This window comes from Homo sapiens, chromosome 10 (genome assembly GCF_000001405.40).
Source record: "Homo sapiens chromosome 10, GRCh38.p14 Primary Assembly".
NCBI classification, from domain to species: Eukaryota; Metazoa; Chordata; class Mammalia; order Primates; family Hominidae; genus Homo; species Homo sapiens.
The window spans coordinates 31129325-31152887 of NC_000010.11; the positions used below are offsets into that span (position 1 = coordinate 31129325).

The 23563-nt window shown below is 44.9% G+C and overlaps 3 long non-coding RNA genes across 5 annotated transcripts in view, besides 5 other annotated features; 2 read left to right on the forward strand and 1 right to left on the reverse strand.

Annotated features, from left to right (window-relative positions):
- LOC105376481 (uncharacterized) overlaps positions 1 to 23563 on the forward strand; it is a 123422-nt gene that overhangs the window by 96817 nt on the left and 3042 nt on the right. The gene's annotated exons all lie outside the window — the stretch shown is intronic.
- LOC105376482 (uncharacterized) lies at positions 659 to 4880 on the reverse strand. Of its 2 annotated transcripts, none has more exons than XR_001747412.2 (4): positions 4796 to 4880; positions 3841 to 4041; positions 1085 to 1194; positions 659 to 847 (listed from the first exon to the last, which is right to left on the reverse strand). It is a non-coding gene; the product is annotated as an uncharacterized LOC105376482 (long non-coding RNA). The 2 variants fall into 2 exon arrangements; XR_001747413.2 differs by having other exon boundaries at positions 3841 to 3898; positions 4796 to 4868.
- Positions 4540 to 4899: a silencer, noted in NCBI's record as "silent region_2272". NCBI's record gives its function as "represses an Ori minimal core promoter by ATAC-STARR-seq in GM12878 lymphoblastoid cells {active_cell/tissue: GM12878}" and the evidence as "EXISTENCE:reporter gene assay evidence [ECO:0000049][PMID:35858748]".
- On the forward strand, positions 4576 to 14518 carry LOC105376483 (uncharacterized). Of its 2 annotated transcripts, XR_001747411.2 has the most exons (4): positions 4576 to 5477; positions 7189 to 7364; positions 7470 to 9922; positions 14415 to 14518. It is a non-coding gene; the product is annotated as an uncharacterized LOC105376483 (long non-coding RNA). The 2 variants fall into 2 exon arrangements; XR_930798.3 differs by having other exon boundaries at positions 7470 to 14518.
- Positions 4960 to 5009: a silencer, noted in NCBI's record as "silent region_2273". NCBI's record gives its function as "represses an Ori minimal core promoter by ATAC-STARR-seq in GM12878 lymphoblastoid cells {active_cell/tissue: GM12878}" and the evidence as "EXISTENCE:reporter gene assay evidence [ECO:0000049][PMID:35858748]".
- Positions 16849 to 17400: an enhancer, noted in NCBI's record as "H3K4me1 hESC enhancer chr10:31435102-31435653 (GRCh37/hg19 assembly coordinates)". NCBI's record gives its function as "activates a minimal SCP1, AML or CMV promoter by ChIP-STARR-seq in primed H9 embryonic stem cells {active_cell/tissue: H9 hESC(primed)}" and the evidence as "EXISTENCE:reporter gene assay evidence [ECO:0000049][PMID:30033119]".
- Positions 17401 to 17951: an enhancer, noted in NCBI's record as "H3K4me1 hESC enhancer chr10:31435654-31436204 (GRCh37/hg19 assembly coordinates)". NCBI's record gives its function as "activates a minimal SCP1, AML or CMV promoter by ChIP-STARR-seq in primed H9 embryonic stem cells {active_cell/tissue: H9 hESC(primed)}" and the evidence as "EXISTENCE:reporter gene assay evidence [ECO:0000049][PMID:30033119]".
- Positions 20614 to 20843: an enhancer, noted in NCBI's record as "active region_3235". NCBI's record gives its function as "activates an Ori minimal core promoter by ATAC-STARR-seq in GM12878 lymphoblastoid cells {active_cell/tissue: GM12878}" and the evidence as "EXISTENCE:reporter gene assay evidence [ECO:0000049][PMID:35858748]".

The following is a 23563-nucleotide window of genomic DNA, read 5'->3' on the forward strand; positions in this document are numbered from 1 at the left end:
GTTAGCAGACAAAAGCACAGGGCCAGAATTCCCAACCAGTTGCTGGATCTGCACTGTAAACTCCATTCTGGGTCCTGCTGTGACTGTTGCCAAGACATCATGACTCAGCACTCTCCCTGAGACCCACCACATGCAACGCAAGGAGACAGGTTACCCCATCACCCATTTCATGCACACACCAGGATGCAGATGCACTCAGTGAAAAGAGGACTGAGCTTTCTGCATTTGGAAAACTGCCTGAGATGGTGGGGGTGTGTGAAGATAGCCTAGGCAGTGTAACTCAATTTAGTTAAAAAAAAAAAAAAAAAAGGCAGCTGGGCGCAGTGGCTCATGCCTGTAATCCCAGCACTTTGGGAGGCCGAGGCGGGCGGATCACGAGGCCAGGAGTTTGAGACCAGCCTGACCAACATGGTGAAACCCTGTCTCTACTAAAAATACAAAAATTAGCCAGGTGTGGTGGCGTGCACCTGTAATCCCAGCTACTCATGAGGCTGAGGCAGGACAATCACTTGAACCCGGGAGGTGGACGTTGCAGTGAATCAAAATCATGCCGCTGCACTCCAGCCTGGGCAACAGAGTGAGATTCCATCTCAAAAAAAAAAAAATATGACTTGAACTTAGTCTTGGTCCTCCGGACAGCAGATCCTGAGACAAACGCTTGAGTGCAAAAATTTATTGGGATGTGTGATCCAGCAAGTAGGAGTAAAAGACAAGACGGATGAAGGACAGAGGATGGAAACCAATACAAGGATGAGTTATTAAGTTGGCCACAGCTCCTGGCGAATGGTTCCTGGCTGTTTCTGGGCTGCCTGAGGAGTTGCATGAAAGATGTTTCAGGGCTGTCCATCTGGGGGAAGAAAGGAAAACATTTATCCATTAGCACTTAGACTCCATTGATCACTCCTGGGTTGGGCAAAATGCATGGGCCCCCGACGGCTTAGAGAAGCTCCAGGGCAGACTCTGGAAGCTCCAGCAGAGGTGTGAGGCAAAGGCATGAGGCAAGGCCCCAGCAGGAAGCTGCTCAGAACCTGCATCAGTAGCTGGAATGAGGGACAAGGGACACCCAAAGGCACTGAGGTCATACCCAAGAGGTGCCTGGTGCACAGTCCAGATTTAAAATTGGTTGCTGCTGGAAAACCATCTTCTTAGAATCTGTTCATCTTTAGCAAATTGCTGATCCCTAAGTAATGACCCCTGTAAGAGTTAAGTAATGTCAGCAGGATACTTGTTTCAAGCACCATTCCATCCATGAACAGAGCCAGCATTTGCAAGTATGTTCTTTGCTTCCTGTGTCAAAATATGAAGCTTTCATGAATGCTCCAGAGATTATATCTGAAAACAGATTTACTCCAGACATCTAGTCTAGCACATGCGGCCCAACTTAATGTCCTATAGAGATAATAAAGAGTTGAAAGAATAAAACTGTTCATTTTATACACATAGGTAAGAAACCATATCTCCACTCATTTTCAGAGCATCTTTGACTTTCCAGAAGCAACTTTCTTTTAGGCTGGGTGGTTTAAATACAGTTTGAAAATAATGTGAATTTTCACACTGTGTTCTCATATAAGGCCCCTGAAAATTTTTCTTCTCTGAAAATACAATATTGACTCTTTTATGGCCAAATTAAGCTACAACAAATAAGGTACGATTCTATTTTCCTTTTCACTGTAAACAGTCTCTATTGTTTAAAATAATATGGTCCTCTGGAGGCCAAGGTGGGAGGGTTGCTTGAGGCCAAGAGTTTAAACCCAGCCTGGGCAACATAGCAAGACACCCATCTCTACAAAATGTTAAAAAATTAGCCAAGTATGGTGGTGTACACCTGTAGTCCCAGCTAATAAGGAGGCTGAGGAAGGAGAATCACTTGAGCCCAGGAGTTCAAGGCTGCACTGAGCTATGATTGCACCACTGCACTCCAGCCTGGGCAACAGAGCCAGACCCTGTATCCAAAAAAAAAAAAAAAAAAAGAAATGCTTCTCTGGCTCATAAACCTATTGCTGAGAAATTTGCCACTGGCTATTAAGCCAATCCTTGGAAAACTAATTGTAAACAAAGTGTTTTGGATCTTGCTACACAGCTGCTCAACTCTTCTATTTGAGAATGAAGTGTAATGAAATTACAACTTAAACTTATTGAGAGGAAGAGCTCAGTAATGCTGTTGAAGACTTGGAATCCTTCTAGCTGGAAAAGCAACAAATAGCCAAGGCGCAGAAGGCTTCACTCAAGCTCAAAGGCAGCAAGCAGAGAAAACCTAGTCCCTCGGGCTATCAGCCACTGTGATCCCTCTCCATTAATACACCAGGCTTAATTAGTTAAATTAACCTATTAGAGGTTGGATATTTATTTTTTAATTAACCAATTATTAGCAATTTAAATAAAATTTATATCTACCATGAGAATTCTACGTGCCTATAAGAGCTTTTAACGTCTTAACAAGACTGTAAATTAGAAACTATTATCTCTATGTACAAATAAAGTACCTGGGCACAGAGATGCTAAGGAAGTCCTCCAAAGTCATACAGCTAAGTAGTGCCAGAGCTGGATTTAAACTCAGGTGACACTATAGAGTACCCCCAATGCCTCCTTAATCTACATCTTCAATCCTTTTTTTTTTTTTTGAGGTGGAATCTGGCTCTGTTGCCCAGGCTGGAGTGCAATGGTGTAATCTTGGCTCACTGCAGCCTCTACATCCCAGGTTAAAGTGATTCTCCTTCCTCAGTCTCCCAAGCAGCTGGGACTATAGACTCATGCCACCATGCCTGGCTAATTTTTGTACTTTTAGTAGAGATGGGGTTTCACCATGTTGGCCAGGCTGGTGTTGAACCCCTGACCTCAGCTGATCTATCTGCCTATCTGCCTCGGCCTCCCTCAATGCTCTGTTTGTCAAAAACAACAATTTGTCACATGGCATAACAAAGAAATCAAGGGGAAGGAGTAGACCTTCATTATGGCAAATTAATCTTGTGCAGATCCCTTGATCCCAGCTCCTTCTATCTCTCAGAGCCTAGGAGGAGTTACGGAGAAACGGTGCGGCAAAGTTAACACTGAGCTTCATCGATATCCTCCAGCTGCAAATGTTACTAGATGCTTCTTCAACAAACTACCTGCCTGAGGACAGTGCACATGAACACATCATAGGCTCTGTAAAATCCTCTGGCAAAGAAACCTGTTTGCCCGAGGATCCCTTTTTGAGGAGCATCTACTTGACACTCATTTGGAAGAAGGCAGTTTCAAAATCACCGAGGTGCAGAATATCACAAAATAATAAATTTGAAACCACAGCCCCTTGGTACCAGGCAGTTCCCACTGGTACTCGGAGTGGAGCCGTCACAGCTTGTCCTGGCATCCCAAACAGAAAATGTATGTATGGATTTCTCACTAACTTAAGAGGAGTCTGACTATTCATTGGCTCAACAAGTATTTATGGGGCATGAGGAGTCAGGCACAGTGCTGGCTCACGAAACTTACAGTCCGGTGGGGAGGGTGAATTTTGCCCGGTTGTACATTTGATGAGTATTACAAAAGAGAAGATGAAAGAGCTACAGGATCCTGTAACTGGAGGACCTGATCTGGCCCAGGCACCAGGGAAGTGACATTTCACCTGAGGCCAGAGGAATAAGTGGGAGGGGAATGGGCTGGGGGTGGGCTATGCAGGGAGACCTATGTGGGCAAAGGGCCTTTCTCCTGGTAAGTTTCTACTCACCCAGCCTCCACCTGGACATCCTCCCTCCCTTCCTCCCTCCCCAGGAGCTGGGCTGAGGGCCGCCCTACTGCTATCCATGGCACTTGTCACCCAGAGCCCTGGTGAACTGTTTGCTTGTATGCAGCACCCCTCACCACATGAAGAGCATCTCAAGGGCTAGGAGTCTCGTTTCTTGTATCCCTGGTCCACCGCCTGATCTCCAGCACACATGAGGTATCCATCAAAATGTTAGCGAAAGGAAAGGAGGAAGGGAGGGAGGGAGGAAAAGAGGGAACAAAGTAATTAACGAATCCCTAGCTGCAGGCACAGGTTGATTCTCTGCAATGTCTCCTTTTCTGTCACAGAGAAAAAGAGCACAGTTAGAGTTCACAGGGACCGCGCCCTGCCACACATTAATTTATTCTCCAAACATTTGTGGAAGTTGCTAGAGACACAGATGCAACGTGTTTTCAGGGAGCTTATGATCTAGCAGTGGAAGCGCAACAGAAGTGCAATTCTTTCATCCTTTTGCCCACATAAAGCAGGCAAGGCACGACGAATTTTGATGTCAACTGCCCAGGCAGGACTTTGTCCCAGCCCAGCGACCCTCACGAGGCCAAGGGCAGAGATGATAGTTGTAATATACTCTTCTGTCCATTTCCTTGATATTCTCCTCAAGGGGTGGGGGGCGCCTGAAATCCATCTGCCCCGGGGAGAAGGGCCTCGTGGGCCAGCGCAGCTTGCTCCTCTGCAGACCCAGAAGCATTTGTGCGTCCCGGGCGTGGCAGGCCCGGCGCCCACTCCGCCCTCCCGCCCCTCCCCCGCGCCACGTCACCCGGGTCACGTGAGTGACCAGGCTCCTCACCCCAACCCCCCTCCCTACTCCCGCCAGACTCAGCTGCTCTCCCCGGGAGCTGGGGAGCCGGGGGCGGGCAGCCGCGTCTGTCCTGCCCCTCCTCGCCCCCTCCCCCGCAGCCTGAGGAGGGCGTTAAGCAAGGGGCTTCGGAGAAATTAGAACCAGCGTTCTAAATTAAGGGGAGCAGATGTCCTTGTTTTGCTCGCGAGGCCTGGGTGGCCTGCTGTTCAGACAGAAATCGTTGAGGCGCTGACCTTCCGGGACTGCTGTCAATCTCCGCGTGCAGATGGCCAGCCCGGAGCCTCGCCGCTCCCCTGCATTGGAAATGCGGCAGCCGGGGGTGCCGGCAGCTTGAGAGAAAAGTCTGCGTGGAGGGGGGGTGGGGGGGATGAGGGGAGGCCCGGGGAGACAGAGGGCAGGAGAAAAAGGCCGGCCCCGCTCACAATGGAGCCCCTGTGGCGGCCCCTCCGAGACAATGCGGTCCCCCGGGACCCGCGGTGGGTTGCGCCAGGCCAGTCCGCGCTCCAGCTGCCTCTTCAGAACAAGGCAGTGCAAATGTGCCCACTTGATTCTAAATCCTCTTAGGCGCTGTCCATGTGAACAAGGAAAGGGGTGGCCCTACGATCCTTTACAATCGGAGGCCTGGGGAGGCCTGGGAGCCCTGGAGCTCCGGAAAATGTCTGCACCACGCATGCAAATGGGTCATTTCGCTTGGAGAGAGGCATCTGGCGACATCGGCAGAAAGGCTCTCTGCCCGGTAGACGGTGAACAAAACCCACAAAACCAGCCAGCCAACAGCGTGCACTAAACACCCCTCTCTGGCCCTTCAATGCCACCCGGAGTCCTGAAACATTTTCAGGTTGTTTCCCCTGGAGAGACGTCCCATGAAATGTTCAGAAAAGCCAGCTGAGCTGTGCAAAGTCATTAGTCACCCAGGTATTTACACTGTTTTTCCTATTTCCTTTCTCTTTTGGCCTCTGTGGTCAGTGGTATAAAATTCCTAGGAACTCCCACCTAAACACCAGCTTCCTGTTTATTCTTGCAGTGGCTTTAATGTTTCGCTGTTAAAAGCGGTTGACCAAGACACTGAAACAATCAGTAGAGGTTCGCAGGTGAATGGAAAAAAAAATTTAATTAAAAAATATATCTACTGCTCAGGTCAAAGGTCCAGGTTCATTTTTACTGCTTATGTCAGAATCGCAAAGGGGAAAAGGTAAAATTAAAATGTAACTTAATGCCTAAGATCTTGGTTCAGTTTCATTTGGCCCCTGTGTCTACATGAACCTATAAAATACGATACACTAAAGTATGAATGTTTTCATTTCTAGCAGTGGAAGGCCTTTTTTTTTTCAATGTGGCATGACGTTCTTTTGTTAGAGAAGGTTAAAGTTCAAAAGTTCATATATTAGCACAATCTGTGTGCTCCTGCGTGTGCCTTACACCTCGCTATGCCTGTTCCGCCTTAATTTCCTGCAGCAAAACCTTGCATTTACAGAGCCATCAGAATTGCAGCCTCCCTGGCCTGGAAAAGAACCCTCGAAGTCACCTCATTCAACCCTTTTCCAATACTGAATTCCCTGTATGGCCCCTAGGGAGTGTTAGTGATGGGACCCTTTCTACCTCAGATTTTATAAATTTATTTTTTAGAGACAAGGATCCACTCTCTCGCCCAGGCTGGAGTGCAGTAGTACCATCACAGCTCACTGCAGTCTCTAACTCCTGGGCTCAAGTGGATCCTCCCACCTCAGCCTATGAGTAGCTGGGACTACAGGCATGTGCCACCATACCTGGCTAATTTTTTAAATTTTTTGCAGAGATGGGTTCTTGCTATGTTGCCCAGGCTGTTTGTTTGTTTGTTTGTTTGTTTTTAAGAGGGAGTCTTGCTCTGTCACCCAGGCTGGAGTGCAGTGGTGAGATCTCGGCTCACTGAAAGCACCGCCTCTCAGGTTCCAGCTATTCTCCTGCCTCAGCCTTCCAAGTAGCTGGGACTACAGGTGTGTGCCACCACGCCTGGCTAATTTTTGTGTTTTTAGTAGAGACGGGATTTCACCACCTTGGCCAGGCTGGTCTCGAATTGATCCACCCGCTTAGGCCTCCCCAAGTGCTGAGATTACAGGTGTAAGCCACTGCGCCCAGCCCCAGGCTAGTTTTGAACTCCTGGCTTCCAGTGATTCTCCTGCCTCAGTCTCCCAAAGTGCTGGGATTACAGGTGGGAGCCACCGTGCCTGGGTAACAATCTTATTTTTCATAAATGTCTTCTATCTATAAAACCAAAATATGTCTCCACTTATGGAGTCATGCGGAATAAATCTAATTTCTTTTGCACATGATATTACCCTACAAATGTTTTGGAGATAGCTCTGCTGTCCCCACACAGTCTTCTCCCTGCTAAACATCCTGAGATCCTGCAGCAATTTCTCTCATGGGTGTGAGCCTCTCGCATCACCCTGAGTTATCTAGCGATGCTCTAGTTAGTGTAAATCCTTTAGAAACTAAAGACAGAAATTCAACTCATGCCGAAACTCAGCTTCTTAGGCAGCACGGGGGAACATGGGTTAAAACCAAAAGACAGATCGGTCGGACCATGTTTGAGTTACTCAGACAAAACTACATTTCAGTTTCTCATTTTAGTCCTTTTCTCTTCTAGGTCATTTATGCCACACTCAGTTATGAAGCCTAGGAAAGAAGAAAAAAGACCTACTATGTGCTAGTTCATGTGCTTGCAATGTATCCTCACAGAGACCCTCTGAGTGGGTTCTATGGTTTTTCCCCTTTTATAGGCTCAAAGGTTAATTCATCCATTCAAGGCCACACAGCTAATAGGTAGGAGGGTTCATACGTCTGACCTGCAACTTACTCTTTACATTATACAAAGCTGCTGCTGCAGATGTTTCCAGCTAAAACTTATATCCCAAATTTGTTTTTCAGCGTATCCTGTGGCATACAGTTTTTATTCAAGGCTGGCTTGTATATATCATATTTATACAGCGACAAGAACTTTTGAAATACAAGTTAAGAACTTTAAGGAGAAAAAAACGTTCTTATTGGAAGCAAATGAAACAGAAATTCCAAGTTAAAGCCAAAAGTCATCCTGAACATGCTTTTATTCCAATGGTATTACTTAACAGCAAAGTGTTATATTACCCTTGAATTTCCTGCCTAAGCTAAGGGTAGGCCAGGCCCTTGATGCTGCTTAAATTGTTCCATGTATCCCAACTATATCACAAGCAATGCCATCACACTTGACTTGTGCCTGATCTCCAACTTGTCAGTTAGTCAAGAAGGAGGAAAGAATCTGTTTCCCGTGCACACACTGTAATTTTTTTTTCCAGTGTTGCTAAGCCTGCCAGAACAAAAGTAAAACCACAAAACAAGATTTAGATCAGTGTCTTGATCACCCTGTTGCTATTTTACAGTTTTAGGAGGGTTGGACATCAAACACTTGAAACTGTCATCTACATATTCCTTCTCAGAATAAGGAAGCACTGGCATGTACCCCTGCTAAATTATTCTCTACCCCCAAATGTTGGAAACTTTCTCTCCAGGAAAATGCTCTACAGAAGGCACGTTGAATTAATGGAGTTAGTTCTGAGAAAGGTTCTTACTGTCTAAGATGAACTGTCATATGCTGACTTCCGGCCAGGTGGACTCGACGCCTTAGCAGGAATGTTGCTTAGACATTTAGCTTTTTCTAATTTGTTTGCTATTATAAACAGTGCTTGAGAAACCTAAAGTACACCCCCACCTAAAATTACTATCACGTCGATTTGTTTATCTTCTTTATAATTGCTTATCCCAACTGAATGTTTCATAGCTTGCATGCTTGTTTATGTTCTACTTTCTTTCTCGGGATCATGACTTGGGCATGACACAAGTTACCTCTTCTATCTTGTTTATTACCACGTAGTAAGGACTCAGGAAATATTTTTGAATGAATGAGTATATCTTTCATGCACATGTATTTTACTGTTGTACAATTATCTTCTTAAGATAAATCTTTTGAGTAGTCAAATTCATAGACACAGAAAGTAGGATGGTGGTTGACAGGGGCTAGGGTGGTGGGGGGAGTGAGAAATTAGTGTTTGATTATTTACTTTTATTTTATTACTATTATTACTTTTGAGAGAGGGTCTCACTGTTGTCCAAGCTGGAATACAATGGCGTGATCATGGTTTACTGCAACCTCAAACTCCTGGACTCAAGCAGTCCTCCTGCCTCAGCCTCCCAAGTAGCTGGAACTATAGATGCACATCACCACACCCAGCTAATTTTTTTTAAATTATTTTTTGTAGAGACAGGTCTCACTATGTTGCCCAGGCTGGTCTCAAGGGATCCCCTGCCTTTGCCTCCCAAAGTACTGGGATCACAGGCATGAACCACTGCACCTGGCTGAGAGTTAGTGTTTAATAGGTGCAAAGCTTCAGTTGGGGAAGATTAAAAAAAAGTTCTGGAGATGGACGGTGGTGATGATTGCACAACGTGAATCTACTTCATGCCACTGGGCTGCACACTTACAAATGGTTACAATGTTAGTTGCCTCACAGCCTGAACAAGTAAAATGGAAGCTGTAATTAACCTTAAAAATATATATGTGTCTGAGATATAATTGTATATAAGTATATGTATACAGACATGTAAACTATTTGTTAAAAAAGAAACTAGAACAAAAATATTTTACATTTACCTGGAAAATGGTTAAAATGGTAAATGTTATAGTATGTATATTTTACTACAATAAAAATGAATAAATTTGTTGAATTGCCATTCTTGGGCTAAGGGTAAGTGTGCATATTTTAAGCTGTGGTATATATTTTGAGACTGCCCTTCAGAAGAATGATGCCAATTTACATAAAAAACAACTATAAGGGCATGAGAATACCCATTTCAATGGTAGGTTTTCTCAGTCTCTTTATTCTTTGTATTTGATAGGCAAAGACAAAGACACACACACAGACACATACACACACACTTTACTGTTTTATTATTTTATGTGTGAATATTAATATAGTTGAAACTTAAGATTGAATATTGTTTTATATGTTTGGCATTTCTTCTTTTATAAGCAGGCTACATGTATCTTTTCCCATTTTTATGGGGCTCTTTACTTCCTTTTATTGATTTGTAGGAGCTCTGTGTATAGTAAAGGTATTAATTCGGTCCATCATATCATTTGCAAATAATTTTTCTCCAGTTCTTTATTTCTGCGTAAATGTCATTTGTGATCTTTTGCCATAGGAAATTTAAAATTATATATTGTATCAAGATAATCTTTGGGTAAGAAAATTCCTCGTTCCAAGATTATGAAAGTATTCATCTGTGTTTTCACCGAGTACATTTCTGGCTTTGTTTGATGCATCTGTATGTCGATAATAAGGAATCAGGTAAAGATATAACTGAATTGTTCTTCTTGCAAATCCATTATTTTATCATAATTTGTTATATAATCCATGCTTTCTATCGGTTATTTGAAATGTCATCTTTTCTTTATAATAAGTAACCATATTCTTAGGTCTATTTCACTGATCTGTCTATTCCAGCACCTAGGCCATGCTGTTTTACTTACAGTGAAAGCTATTATACCAATCTATCTAGATGGTATTTGTTGCCATAAATCCTCGATTAGTGAGTCACCTCTGTGTTTGGGAATTAATGGATGATTGGAAAATTTTTAAGTTATATGTAATCATTAATTGGAAAGGCCGAGTGAGATCAAGAATTTTCTGTAAATGGGAATCGGCAAGTGTGTTAGAGGTAGCTCCCTAGAAGGACCAGAATGGTAGAAGGAGAACCATCACTTCTTGGCAGAGCAGGACACCTGGCACAGTGTCAGGCTTTGTACTTAGATCCAACGTATTTCCCCACGCTAGATTCACTTAGCAACCAGTGTGTTGGATGGCAAGCTGGTGGGCTTTGCCCTCTTGATAGTGAATGCTGTCTCTGCCACCTACTAGGTGTGCGATCTTAGGTAAGTCACTTAACCAATCTGCATTCCGAGACTCATGGCAGCTATCCAATATGATTGTTATAAAGATTAAACAATACATTTAAATGCACTCTGAAAGTGATCATATTGAAATATTGATCGTCATTATTTTTACTTCTACTACTGTTGGGGAGGGATGCTTCCCTCCCATGTCTTCATGCTTGTGCCCATTCACCTGCCTCCTGGCCTTGCTGCTTCTCATGAGACAGAGTTCTCCAAGGAAGCGCTGCTATCAGGACAGTCAGACTCAGAGGCCACCTGTTGACCTCCTTTGATGATGGATGGGATTGCTACTTGCAATGTGATGGACACTCCAGGAATCTCCCTTCTGATCCGCCTCTTTCGGGATACTGCTACTGCTGGCTTCCACAGTTAGGTCAGGGTTGTGCTCTACCTAACAAGCCTTCCTTCATCCTCTCTTTTTCCTCTAAAAACATTCTTAATGTGTTAGTACCATGATTTTTATTTTCTTGCAAGGGATGTCTTGGTGGTGGATTAGGAGGTCTGTTTGGCCTTAAGTCTCAACCGCAGGCTCCAACGCAGCTTAACCAGCGAGCATCTGTTGGGGGCAATTGGGAAATAACAATACAGTGGTAATTTGATTGCTATTCCTTCTGTGTTTTTCGACTCACTCCCCTTGTGTGTTATTACACACAATCAAACCTCATGGGAGGAGGACCGATTGACAGGGGATTTGGGCATTCCTAGTTCTCCAGCACAAATACCATCCTGACCGTCAAACCCTCACCTCTCTAACCTCTGACCTCTATCAATGACCAATCCTTAGCATGGATCAATTACTCCCATAAGGAGGATATTCTGCACAGTACCCATAGTAAGAGTTCATAATAACAAACCCATGTTTGTTATTATGATTGCTACTGCTTTTAGTTGCTACTGAGCATACAGAAAGCACAGAAGTGGTGTGCTCTGTGAAAGAGGGTAGCTCAGTGCCCAGGTCTCCATCATTGTAACCTTGGCCTTCTGCCTGACTCCTTGCCCTTCATATGGTCTTCTCTCTGGCCCCTCAGGCCTGGGACTGAATACCTGGCTCTCCCTTGATCATCTGCCGTCTGAATCCAGCCCATTTTTAAACCAGTCCCTGCCTTTCCTTCTTGGGTTTGCCTGTGTGCCTCTGCCTTTTATCTCCATTTCTCAGGCAGCTTGCCCTGGTCAATAAAAGAAAGCTGAATGACTGTTCAAGGCATCCTGGGTCAGAACAGAAAGGTGAGAGCTTCAAGGCCATCAGGGAGTTCTGTGAGGTGCAGGCATGCTGTAAATGGTAGGCCTGGGGACTCTGACAACTGCACGGCCTGCTCTTATTATAAGAAGGCTGCTGCAATCCTCAGGCAATGTCCAATCATTAGTTTAATGAGCATTTACATTTATTGAATATGTGTGCCACATGCTGGGAATAAGAGGTGGGCAAGACAGACGTGATTCTTTCTTTCCTTCTTTTTTTTTTTTTTTTTTTGAGTCAGGGTCCTGCTGTGTCACCTAGGCTGGAGGGCCGTGGCATGCTCTCGTGGCTCACTGCAGCCTCAACCTCCTGGGCTCAGGCGATCCTCCCACCTCAACCTCCCAAGTAGCTGGGACTACAGGCCTTCACCACCATGCCCAGATATGTTTTGTATTTTTTGTAGAGATGGGGTTTTGCCATGTTGTCCAGGCTGGTCTTGAACTCCTAGGCTCAAGCAATCTGCCCATATCAGCCTCCCAAAGTGCTGGGAGTATAAGTGTGAGCCACTGTGCCCAGCCCAGACATGATTCTTAGGAACTTAAGAATGATTCAAGGAACTTACAGTCCAATGAGAGAGACAAATGCCATCAAAACTAATGAATGAAATGACCCACTGTGGCCACTGCTGTCCAGGTAAAACAGGGTGCTGAGATCAAGACCCAAGGGGCTGGCATGGAGGCCCACTTTAGATTTGATATCAGGGATGGCCTGAATCTGAATCTCTTAATCCAGCTTTCAATATGAACAGTTTTTTCTCATCCCATAAATATTTGCAAAGATTCCCACCAGCTTTTCCTACATTTGTGAATTTTCTCATGACAAAAGAAAAAAAAATCACATGAGTCAGAGAAACCTGAAAAATAAAGCGTCGCTGCTCCCAGTCATATTTTCCTCTTCTTTTGCCCTTTGACACCTTTTACTTGATTGCTTTTAGGCCTAGATTAATTTTGTCTGGCCTGAGACCCATGCTAATTTGCATGGCTATTCTGTATACGGGTCAGATGCACGAAGACAGCAGGCTAGCCTGAATTCACAGACCGATTCACATCCATCAAGTGGCCCTGAGCTCAATGTACTCACTGCAGAAGAATGGAGGATAATGAAAAATCCTACCACGACCTAAAATCCTGACTCACCAGGGTTGCCCTGTGGTCAAGCTTATGGGTAAACCACTCCATCATCCTTATGTTCTACTTGTCAAACACTTGTGGGATTCCATTTTGGGCTTTGGACATGTAATTATGGTTCCATTGTTTCCAAAGCCAGACTTAAGCCTCAGATTATATAATTAATTGTGAGTGGGTGGAGTGCCTTCTTGTATTTTACACTCTCGTCTATGATGTTAACACAAATCCTTGTTTCGTTCCTTAATACCACATATTGCTGAGCCACACGACTACACAAAATGCACGTTAGTGTTGTCGTATTTGTTGATGTTGTGAATGGGTGACTGGAAGACTTGCTTAAACTGGAAAGTCTGTTTTTTTCCTGTGTTTGTTGACATAGTCCACAATTCTTTTAGTCTCCAGAAGTGTCCGTTTATTCATTCATTCATTCAACAAATATTTATTTTAGGCCTATCATGCATGAGGAACTATGCTAAATGCAAGGTAAAAACCTTGGTCTCTAGCCTCAAAATCACATAACAAAGATGGTGCCCATCGTGAGATGCGATGTGGTGGGTTGCTGTATGTGAATCACCTGGACAGCATTCTAAAGTCATTAGTGAGCCAGGCACAGTGGCTCCCATCTGTAATCCCAATGCTTTGGAGGCCAAGGCATGAGGGTCACTTGAGGCCAGGAGTTTGAAATCAGCATGGGCAACATAGCAAGACGCTGTCTCTACAAAACACTTTATTTTAAAATTAGCCAGGCATGGTGGCATGCACCTGTAGTCCCAGCTACTCAGGAGGCTGAGGCAGGAGGATAACTTGAACCCAGGAGTTTGAGGCTGCAGTGAGCTGTCATCATACCACTACACTCCAGCCTGGGTGACAAAGTGAGACCCTATCTATAAATAATAACAATAATAATAATAAAAGTCATATATGCCTGCCCATCCCACCCCAAACTCATCATCTGAGATTCTGATTTGACAGGTCCAGAGGGAAGTCCTGGCATGTGGATTTTGAAAAAACTGTAATCAGAATTACATCCTTGGGTTATGAACCACAGGTCTAGTCGTCTTCCCAGAACTCTGCAGAACTCAGCTGCTTGCTGGGGATGTATAGCCATGAGCTTCTTTGAACCAAGCTGGACAGTCAGAAGGCTGACAGTGCCTGAGTTGGGCTGGTGGTAATCCTGGGCTCCCGGCCTTGAGAACCTGCCCTGTGTGAGAGACTGGGCCCAGTCCTAGGGTCAGGCCTGCTCTGGTCACCTATTCTGATACAGTTTCGATCTTTGTGTCCACCAAATCTCATGTTGAAATATGATCCCCAGTGTTGGAGGTGGGGCCTGGTGGGAGGTGTTTGGGTCATGGGAACAGATCCCTTATGAATGTCTTGGTACTGCCCTTGCGGTAATGAGTGAGTTCTTGCTTTGTTAGTTTCTGTGAGATCTGATTGTTACAAAGGGCCTGGCAGCTCCCTCCCCTCTGTCTCTTGCTCTCTGTCACCATGTGACACACCAGCTCCCCTTTCTCTTCTGCCAGGATTGGATGCTCCACGAAGCCCTCACCAGAACAGATGCTGGCACCATGCTTCCTGTACAGCCCACAAACTGCAAGCCAAATAAACTTCTTTTCCTTGTAAATTACCCAGCTTCAGTATTCCTTTATAGCAATGCAAACAGACTAGTACAATTCCCACGCCAACTCTAGACAGGAGCATCTTTGCTGTTCTTCATCCTGGGCTGTTTTGGGCCCCCTATGCTCAACTTACCTGACCTCTGAACTTAACTCATGACCTTTACTTTGGCCTCTAAAACCTCACCTTCTGGTGTTGTCTCTGCAGTGACACCTCATGTGTCTCTTGTTCTCCTTCTTAGCCAAGTGAGCCCAGGCCATAGATGTCAGACACTGGGCTGAGCAGTTACTTTTCTGTGGGACCCGGTGTGGGGAGTTGACAAAGCAGTCAGAAAAGTAGCATTTAGGAAAGTGTTGAATCCCAAAGGAGGGGATGGATGGGAGGGCTCAGCTACCCCAAGGGGCTGGACAGAGTGGGAGAACTCACATGGTGTCCCAGACAAAGAGAAAGCACCTTCTCCGGCGACAGAGGAGGGCCAAATTAGACAGTGGGGAGAGTAGGGGGTTCTTTGCATCAAGTGCTCACAGGGGGTGGGAGGGGGCGCAACAGGACAGCGAAAGTCCTGAGCAGAAAGTCCATCTCAGAAGGGACGCAGCCCTGCCTGCAGCTGCCTCTCCAGCTTGCTCTCCATGAGAGCTGCGCCCTCGCTGCCATCCTCCTCCAAGTCCCTGTCCGGATCCATTCGGCTTGGCCCTGTCCTGGAGTGCACAGGAGGAAGCTCCGGTGACCCCTAGAAGCATCCCCAGGAGCAGTGCCAAAAGACCACTATTTTTTCCTTTTTTTTTTTTTTAATTTACTTTAATTTCCAGGATACATGTGCAGAACGTGCAGGTTTGTTACATAGGTATACATGTGCCATAGTGGTTTGCTGCACCTATTGACCCGTCCTCTAAGTTCCCTCCCCTCGCCCCCCACCCCCCAACAGACCCTGTTTGTGTGTTGCTCCCTTCCCTGTGTCCATGTGTTCTCATTGTTTAACTCCCACTTATGAGTGAGAACATGTGGTGTTTGGTTTTCTGTTCCTGTGTTAGTTTGCTGAGAATGATGGCTTCCAGCTTCATCCATGTCCTTCCAAAGAATATGATCTCATTTCTTTTTATGGCTGCATAGCATTCCATGGTGTATATGTACCACATTTTCTTTATCCAGTCTATCATTGATGGGCGTTTGGGTTGGTTCCAAGTCTTTGCTATTGTAAATAATGCTACAATAAACATACATGTTCATGTGTCTTTATTGTAGAATGATTTATATTCCTTTGGGTATATACCCAGTAATGGGATTGCTGGGTCAAATGGCATGTCTGGTTCTAGATCCTTGAGGAATTGCCATACTGTCTTCCACAGTGGTTGAACTAATTTACATTCCCACCAACAGTGTAAAAGCATTCCTATTTTTCCAAAATAATTGCCATTCTGTCTGGAGTGAGATGGTATCTCATTGTGGTTTTGATTTGCATTTCTCTAATGATCAGTGATGATGAGCTGTTTTTCACATGTTTGTTGACTGGCCCTGCTTTACCTCATGCAAAGGCCATCACCAGCTTGTGAATTCTGGTTCTTTTTTTAAAAATGTCTATTGTCAAGTCTATGATTTCAGATATGATATTCTGCCTGCACATGGCCCATATTGGTGACAAATCAGAGAAGGTATTTTCATGTATAGCATTTGGCCCAACCAACCCAGGTTTAGGTACCATCAGTCTCTTGAATGTATAAACAGACTGAATTCATAAACTCCTACTGAAACTAACATGCTTTGTAAGTAGAAAACAAAATCAGGATCATGAATTGGCTGGTTTTATTTTTTCTAGTGGCTATTTGCTGATTCTTGGCCTTAAATGATAACATCTTTTTTTTGCATGTCATTTGATCATTCATTCGTTCAGCTTTCACCAAACACTTGTTATGTGGGATTTCCTGTGACGCTTTACAAGCTGGCCCCAAACTGTGCCTCCAGCCTGGTCTCCCACACATCCCTGTCATGTCCCTGCACCCACCTAGCACATTTAATCTCTGGCACACCTGCAGTATACGGATGAATAAGACATGGTCCCTGTCCCTCAACTTCTTGCAGTCTGGAGACAGTAACAGCCAGGCATCGGTCTTTTTGAGATAATAAAGCGTATGGTGACATTTGACCTAGGTCTTGAAGGACACAGAGCAGGTAAGCGACAGGTGTAAAGCCCTGAGTTGGTGAGCGGGGAGGTCAGGGAGATCAAGGAGGGAGTGCCTGCCTCATGGGGACTAACTGGCAAGAAGTGGGGCTGGAGAGACAGCTCCCCGCCCAGGCCTGCCTAAGTGCTCTGTGATCAGCTGTTAGAGGTCCTAGTTACTGCCTGTGACATTCCTGCCATGCTGCCTCTTCAATGTGCCCAGATTCCCAGGTCACGCTCCTTCAGCCACCTTTCATGACTTGCTGCTAAGGTGGAAGGGAAAACCCAGAACTTTGTTCTTGGGGGGTAGCGAGGGAGTTGCCAAAGGCTGTTTATTTGTCTTCCTTTTGACTTTCAATCAAACCACATGTAACTGCTCCCTGGATCCCTGCTCAGGTGTGCAGCAGACCTTGCTGTGCACGAGTCTCATGCCTGGCGTGGACTAGCCTCGCCAGAGACTCCTGTCTGAGCCCTCAAAAAAGTCTGCAGCACACGTCTAAAAATAGGTAAGCGAAGAAGCCCAGACTCAGGGAGAAATGCTCTTACCAGGCCCCAGAAAAGCCAGCTGTATCAAGTTCAGGCCTCTTCCCCGCCAAGCCACAGGGTCGTGAGAGACTTCCCATCTTGGCTTTCGGAGTTGGGAAAGGAGGGGAGGAAGTGGAGAGGCAGGATGTGGTGGAGGGGCTGCGTGCTGCCTGCAGGGCTGGAGTCTCAAAGCAGGAATCCTCCGAAGGACGTTTTGAACAGCCGGTTAGGCGCACATGCGCGTACACACACGCACACACACACACACACACACGCACGCACGCACGCGCACGTGCAGAGCCCCCAAACAGCCTATTGGCTTTGGTTTCCTTCAGTGAAATCTGGGATCAAGAATAATCTCATCTGGGGTGGCCAGCCACTCTGGACTCACGGTTTCCAGGGTCTTCTGAGTATATACAACCATCCTCCAGACTGCAAAAAACACGATATTTACTCTGACAAAGCCACAAGAGCCCCAGGTTTATGTCCATGAAAGATCAGACAGAATCCAGAGCAGCGACTCATCAGTGGTGACTGACAACCTGATGTGCAACTAATGTGTGAGTCCCTTTTCTGACCCTTCTGTGTCAGTATGTCTTTCCTCTGCCCTTCCATCTGTTTAGTGGGTCCACTGTGGGGTGAGACAGTTTTGTTGCAGGGGACTTGGGTCCAGCTGGCTGGAATTATCATAGGTTTCATTCCTGATTTGGTGTGTTCTAGGATGGAAAAGACACTTCCTCTTTGCTTCTGACCTCTTTCCAGAACAAATAAAAACACACACCAAAAAGCCACTCCCGGGAAGATGAAACAACATAGTCACCCCTGGATCCCCAGGGGCAACTTCAGAGGGCTTCCATTAGCAGGGTGGATGAGCTATTTTCCCAGGATATTAAATGTGAGAAGCTTTGAGCATGTATCTGGTGAGTCACACCAGTGTTTTAGAGTCTGACAAGGATCGTTACTGAAATACATAATGCAACCATCATCAGCATATGGGGACTCATACATTGTAGAGATACTGATCTGCTCTACCCTTTTAAGTCTTCATGCAACTAAAGGGGAAGATCCCCTCAAATAGGTTGTTCTCTTTCCTAACCCTAAGAAGAGTCTTTCTTTAAAATAAGTTCTCCTGTATGACTGTAAGATAGGATTGATGGGAAAGGAAGGGACAAGGAATTAGTATTTTCTGAGTGACTACTGGATTCCAGCTCATGAATGGCCAGGGAAATGGCATTCTCACCTGAGCAGGGCTCCTCCATTAGACTAGTGTAGGAAGCCCAAGGGGAGGATGGCACATGGTTAGGACTCGCCCAGGGACCAGGCACAGTGGCTCAGGTCTGTAATCATAACAACTTTGGGAGGCTGAGGCAGAAGAATTATATGAGCCTAGGAGTTCGAGACCAGCCTGGGCAACATAGTGAGACCCTGCTTCTACAAAAAATAGAAACTAGCTGGGCGTGGTGGCACATGCCTGTAGTCCCGTTACTTGTGGGGCTGAAGTGGAAGGATCATTTGAGCCCAGGAGGTAGAGACTGCAGTGAGCAGTGATAACACCATTGTGCTCCAGCTTGGGTGACAGAGTGAGATCCTGTTTCAAAAGAAAAAAAAAAAAAAGCTCGGGGTAGTGGTAGTGGCTCATGCCTATAATCCCAGCACTTTGAGAGGCCAAGGCAGAAGGATCACTTGAGTTCAGGAGTTCAGGAGACCAGCCTGGGCATCATGGTGAGACCTCATCTCTAAAAAAAAAAAAAAGAAAAAAAAAAAAAAAGACAAGCCTAAAGTCACACCGCCCAGTTCATATTCTAATTCTGTCACCTACAAGCAATGTGGCTTTGGGAAAATTGTTTAATCTCTTTGCAACTCAATGTCCTCACTAAAATGGGAGAATTGAATGGAGATTTCTCAAAACTAAAAATAGGACTACCATTCAATCCAGCAATCCCACTACTGGGTATCTACCAAGAGGAAAAGAAATCAATATAACAAATAAATACCTGCACTTGCATGTTTATTGCAGCACTATTCAATACCACAAAGACATCAAATCAACCTAAGAGCCCATCTTTGGACAAATGGATAAAGAAAATGTGCTGTATATATACATAATGGAATATTATTCAGCCATAAAAAAGAATGAAATCCTGACATTTGCAGCAACATGGCTGGAAGTGAAGGTCATTATCTTAAGTGAAATAAGCCAGTCACAAAAAGATTAATACCACATATTCTCACTGACACGTGGGAGCTAAAAAATCTGATCACATGGAGATAGAGAATGAAAAGATGGAGAACAGAGACCAGGTGGGGTGAGTGGCAGGGTCAGGGAGAGGTTGAAGAGAAGTGGGCTAAAGGCTACAAGCCTACAGTTAGATAGAAGGAGTAAATCCAGCATTTGATAGCAGTAGAGTAGGGTGGCTATAGTTTAACAAAAGTATATTATACTTGGGCGATGGACACCCTAAACACCCTGTCTTGATCACTCCACATTATATACATGTAACAAAATTTCACATGTACCCCACAAATGTGTACACATAATGTAAAAAATTAAAAAAATAAGATAAAATGGGAGGACTGAATTCCCTGTCCCATGGGTTCCTGTGAATTGAATGAGCTCACACACTAGGACTTGGCACAGTGCCTGGCATAGAATAAGTGCTCAATGAATGCTAACTTCCCCTCCTGCTGTCAGCATCATTTACAACCAATAGACCTGAAAACGTCTGATGTTAATTAAACACCTTGATTCATTTGGAAAGATTGATCTGGCATTAATCGGAACTACTGTACAAAAACGATGACTTCTTTGGATGCATATTTTTTGGGAAAAGGCCCAAAGTGTGGGCCATAAAATAAACCGAGAGTTTGCCTTTTGGGAGCGTAGAAACATGTCACGAGTTCTAACACTTCCACACTCATAGAACTAAAGCCTCCCAAGTAGGAAAAAACTCCACTTCCAGAGGGTACTTAACTCTCTATTCGGACCAAGCTATTACTTGAAGCTTCTCCCTTTTATTTCAGAAACTTCTTGCATTTATTTGATTTAGTTCTAAAGACGTGAAGTGTTATGGAATAAATTTGCTTACGGTGATGGATGGGCATTTTCACAACCCAGGGCCTTGCTTCTAAAGCATTTTTATGACCACTTGATATCACCAAACAGTGAAACAGCATAGGACACCAATCAATGAGGTGCATATTCTTCTCAGGTGGCAGAGAGATTAGGTGGCCTGTTTAAAAGTGCCCAACAGGCTGGATGCGGTAATCCCAGCACTTTGGGAGGCCGAGGTGGGCGGATCACCAGAGGTCAGGAGCTTGAGACCAGCCTGACCAACATGGCAAAACCCTGTCTGTACTAAAAATACAAAAATTAGCTGGGTGTGGTGGCAGCTGCCTATAATCCCAGCTACTTGAGAGGCTGAGGCATGAGAATCGCTTGAACCCGGGAGGCAGATGTTGCAGTGAGCCAAGATTGCACCATTGCACTCCAGCCTGGGCAAGCCTGGGCAACAGAGCGAGACTCCATCTCAAAAAAAACCAAAAATAAACCTGCTCAGCAAACCAGTGACAGGCAAATTGAGATGCCATTGGGCCACACTCCTTCACACAGAGGTCAAAGGAAGGAGCTGGCCATCCTCTGCCCATAGGTCTTTAATTAGAAACAGAGGAAGTCAGGATTTTTTATCCACTTGAGAAAAACATGAAACTTTACCAGCTAAATTGAAGAATCCCTGTTACTAAAAGTCTGTGTCATTGCACTTCGGGAGGGCGGGCCCAGTGGCACACATGTGTGACGTGGCTGTCCAGTCACACTGGTTGTGAAGAGTAGGAGCTACTGGAGAACCATGATGCATGACGCAGAAGATCAGGGGCAGGGCCCTGGCCATGTCTTTCTCAGCCGTCCTGGGAGCTTTCAGGATGGTCATCCTTCTTCTGTTCTTTCCTCCTAAGGCAAAAAATTTATACCACTTTTTTTTTTCCCAATCCAGATGCAAAACCAAAAACTCAAATCCAACTGTTCTCAGTCAAGTGAAAGCATTCCAAGACCTCAGAAATGCTCACTCACCAAAGACCATTTTCCTGACTTGTAATTTGGTCAGTTATCACTGGTTTTAGGAAGGTTCCGGGTGGTCCAGTTTCCTCTGGGAACTCCGTAGGTTTCATGGTTTCTGTTTCCAGAGTTTTCTGCTTGCCTAGGAGTTCCAGGGCAACTGAACTTGCTGAGAAGGTGAGCACCCACCGCTCAGCTGCAGAAGGTCGTTTGGAAAACCTAATTAGAGTTCCTCCCCCTTTTTTTAACACCAGGAGTTGGCCCTGGCAGGCCTGTGTGGAGGTGGAGGCGATTACATTTTGATCCCTAGTATATCTGCCTTAGAAAGATGCTGGACTTAAAATTTCAAACCATTTCATAATGATTTATACATTTTTTAATAAGTGCCATTAGATCTCCTTCCACCTTTCAGGTGTCAGAACTGCTAAGCCTCATACAGCTTCTTCCCTAAGGGCCCAAGTAGGTTGTTAGTTGGGTGGGTTGAGTCTCTGATTCCTGCATACTTTAATGCGTTCTTCTAATTTGAAGTATGCAAACTAGGTTTGCTCCCTTCGGAACAATCCCATGCAATTTGGTTGAGGAGCTGAGCACATTTCACAGCAAGAAAATAGGGACCGTCCAAAAGGGATAGAAATTGCTCAAATGAACAATTTGCATTTACTCTCCTCCTGGGGAAAAATATATTGAAAAACATCTGTTGTGAAAGTTAAGGTATAATCTTCAACTCCTCCAACTTTCTCTGTCCTTGTTTTGTACAGCACAGCACTAACTAAAGGCAACGTGGTTTTTTTTTTGTTTTGTTTTTTGTTTAAAAAAAAAGAAAAAAGAAGCACACACAGAGAGGCTAATTCACCATAAATGGTCCAGGCCACCACTGTGGAGATTGAGAATGTGAAAGTGAAAAGCAGGCCAGTCAGCTTGTAGAACAAGTCAGTGGAGGGTTCCTCTGACAATGGAACTGGTTGAGAAGTGTCAGCGATCACACCTGGGCATCCCAGGGCTGTCCCCTACCCAGAGAAGGCCATTATCCTGCTCTCTGTAATAATAAACCTCAGAAAGCACAGCCTGGTTGTCTAAATGAGCAGGAATCTTTTCACACATTTCCACCCCAGTCTAATATTTCTCCTTTCAGAGGTAAGAAGAACCTGTATTCATTGAAGCTAAGAAGAAGATAGTTTTTTTTCAACTATATATATACATATATAATTTTTTTTTTGAGATGGAGTTTCGCTCCTGTTGCCCAGGTTGGAGTGCAATGGCACTATCTCAGCTCATGACAATCTTTGCCTCCCAGGTCCAAACAATTCTCCTGCCTCAGCCTCCCAAGTAGCTGGGACTACAGGCAGGCACCACCATGCCTGGCTAATTTTGTATTTTTAGTAGAAACAGGATTTCTCCATGTTGGTCAGTCTAGTCTCAAACTCCCGACCTCAGGTGATCCGCCCACCTCGGCCTCCCAAAGTGCTGGGATTATAGACGTGAGCCACTGCACCCAGCCTAAAAAATATATATTGAAGGAGCACAAGGGCAGATTTCTTACATTCATATATTGTGTAATGAAGTAACGAAGTCTGGACTTTTAGTGTATCCATCCCACCTGAATAGTGAACATTGTACCCAACAGGTAATTTGTCAACCAATAAGAAGACAGTTTGAGATGCCAAGTGGAAAGCCACCTCTTGGAGATTACTAGATTCCATCTTTACTGTCAGTTCTTGGGGAGCCCAGGGAGCTCACATGGGTATCAGATGGGATTTTACTCCACACAACTGCATAGCAATTGTGAGAAGCTCAGGCAATACCAGATCTAGAGCTCCATATTCAATTAGGCAGGTATTTTATCAAATGTCAGTGTACAAGTCAGTTTTCTTCCTTCCCTTCAGAATTGCTTTTTCTAATTTCATTATGTCCCTAGCCTTGGCACTAAGACCAATTAGAAGAGAATAAAGATAATGTCTGGGAGTGTGTGGGCTGAACAGATAAAAGCTGTCACTTGCAGATCACAGTGGAGCTTTCCTGCAGGAGTGACTCTCCTGAATCCAAACCACTTGGAGCTTATCTATAGGCTGCCTTGACTTTCCAGGACAGCTGATAGACCTGCTTCAGTCTGATTTGCAAAAGTATGCAATGATTTTCAGCTATGACCTTGACTTGTCTCTTCCTGTCTCTCCAAGCAGGCCACTCTCCAAATGCAGTTTAGTTCCATTGACCAAAGATGTTAGAAGCAAGCTCTGGGCTCAGACCTGTCATTGGGTCCTGTCTCCTTGCCCCTCAGGATGGAGGAATTCTGTGCCAAGATTTTATCTTTGCTGATCTTGGCACAT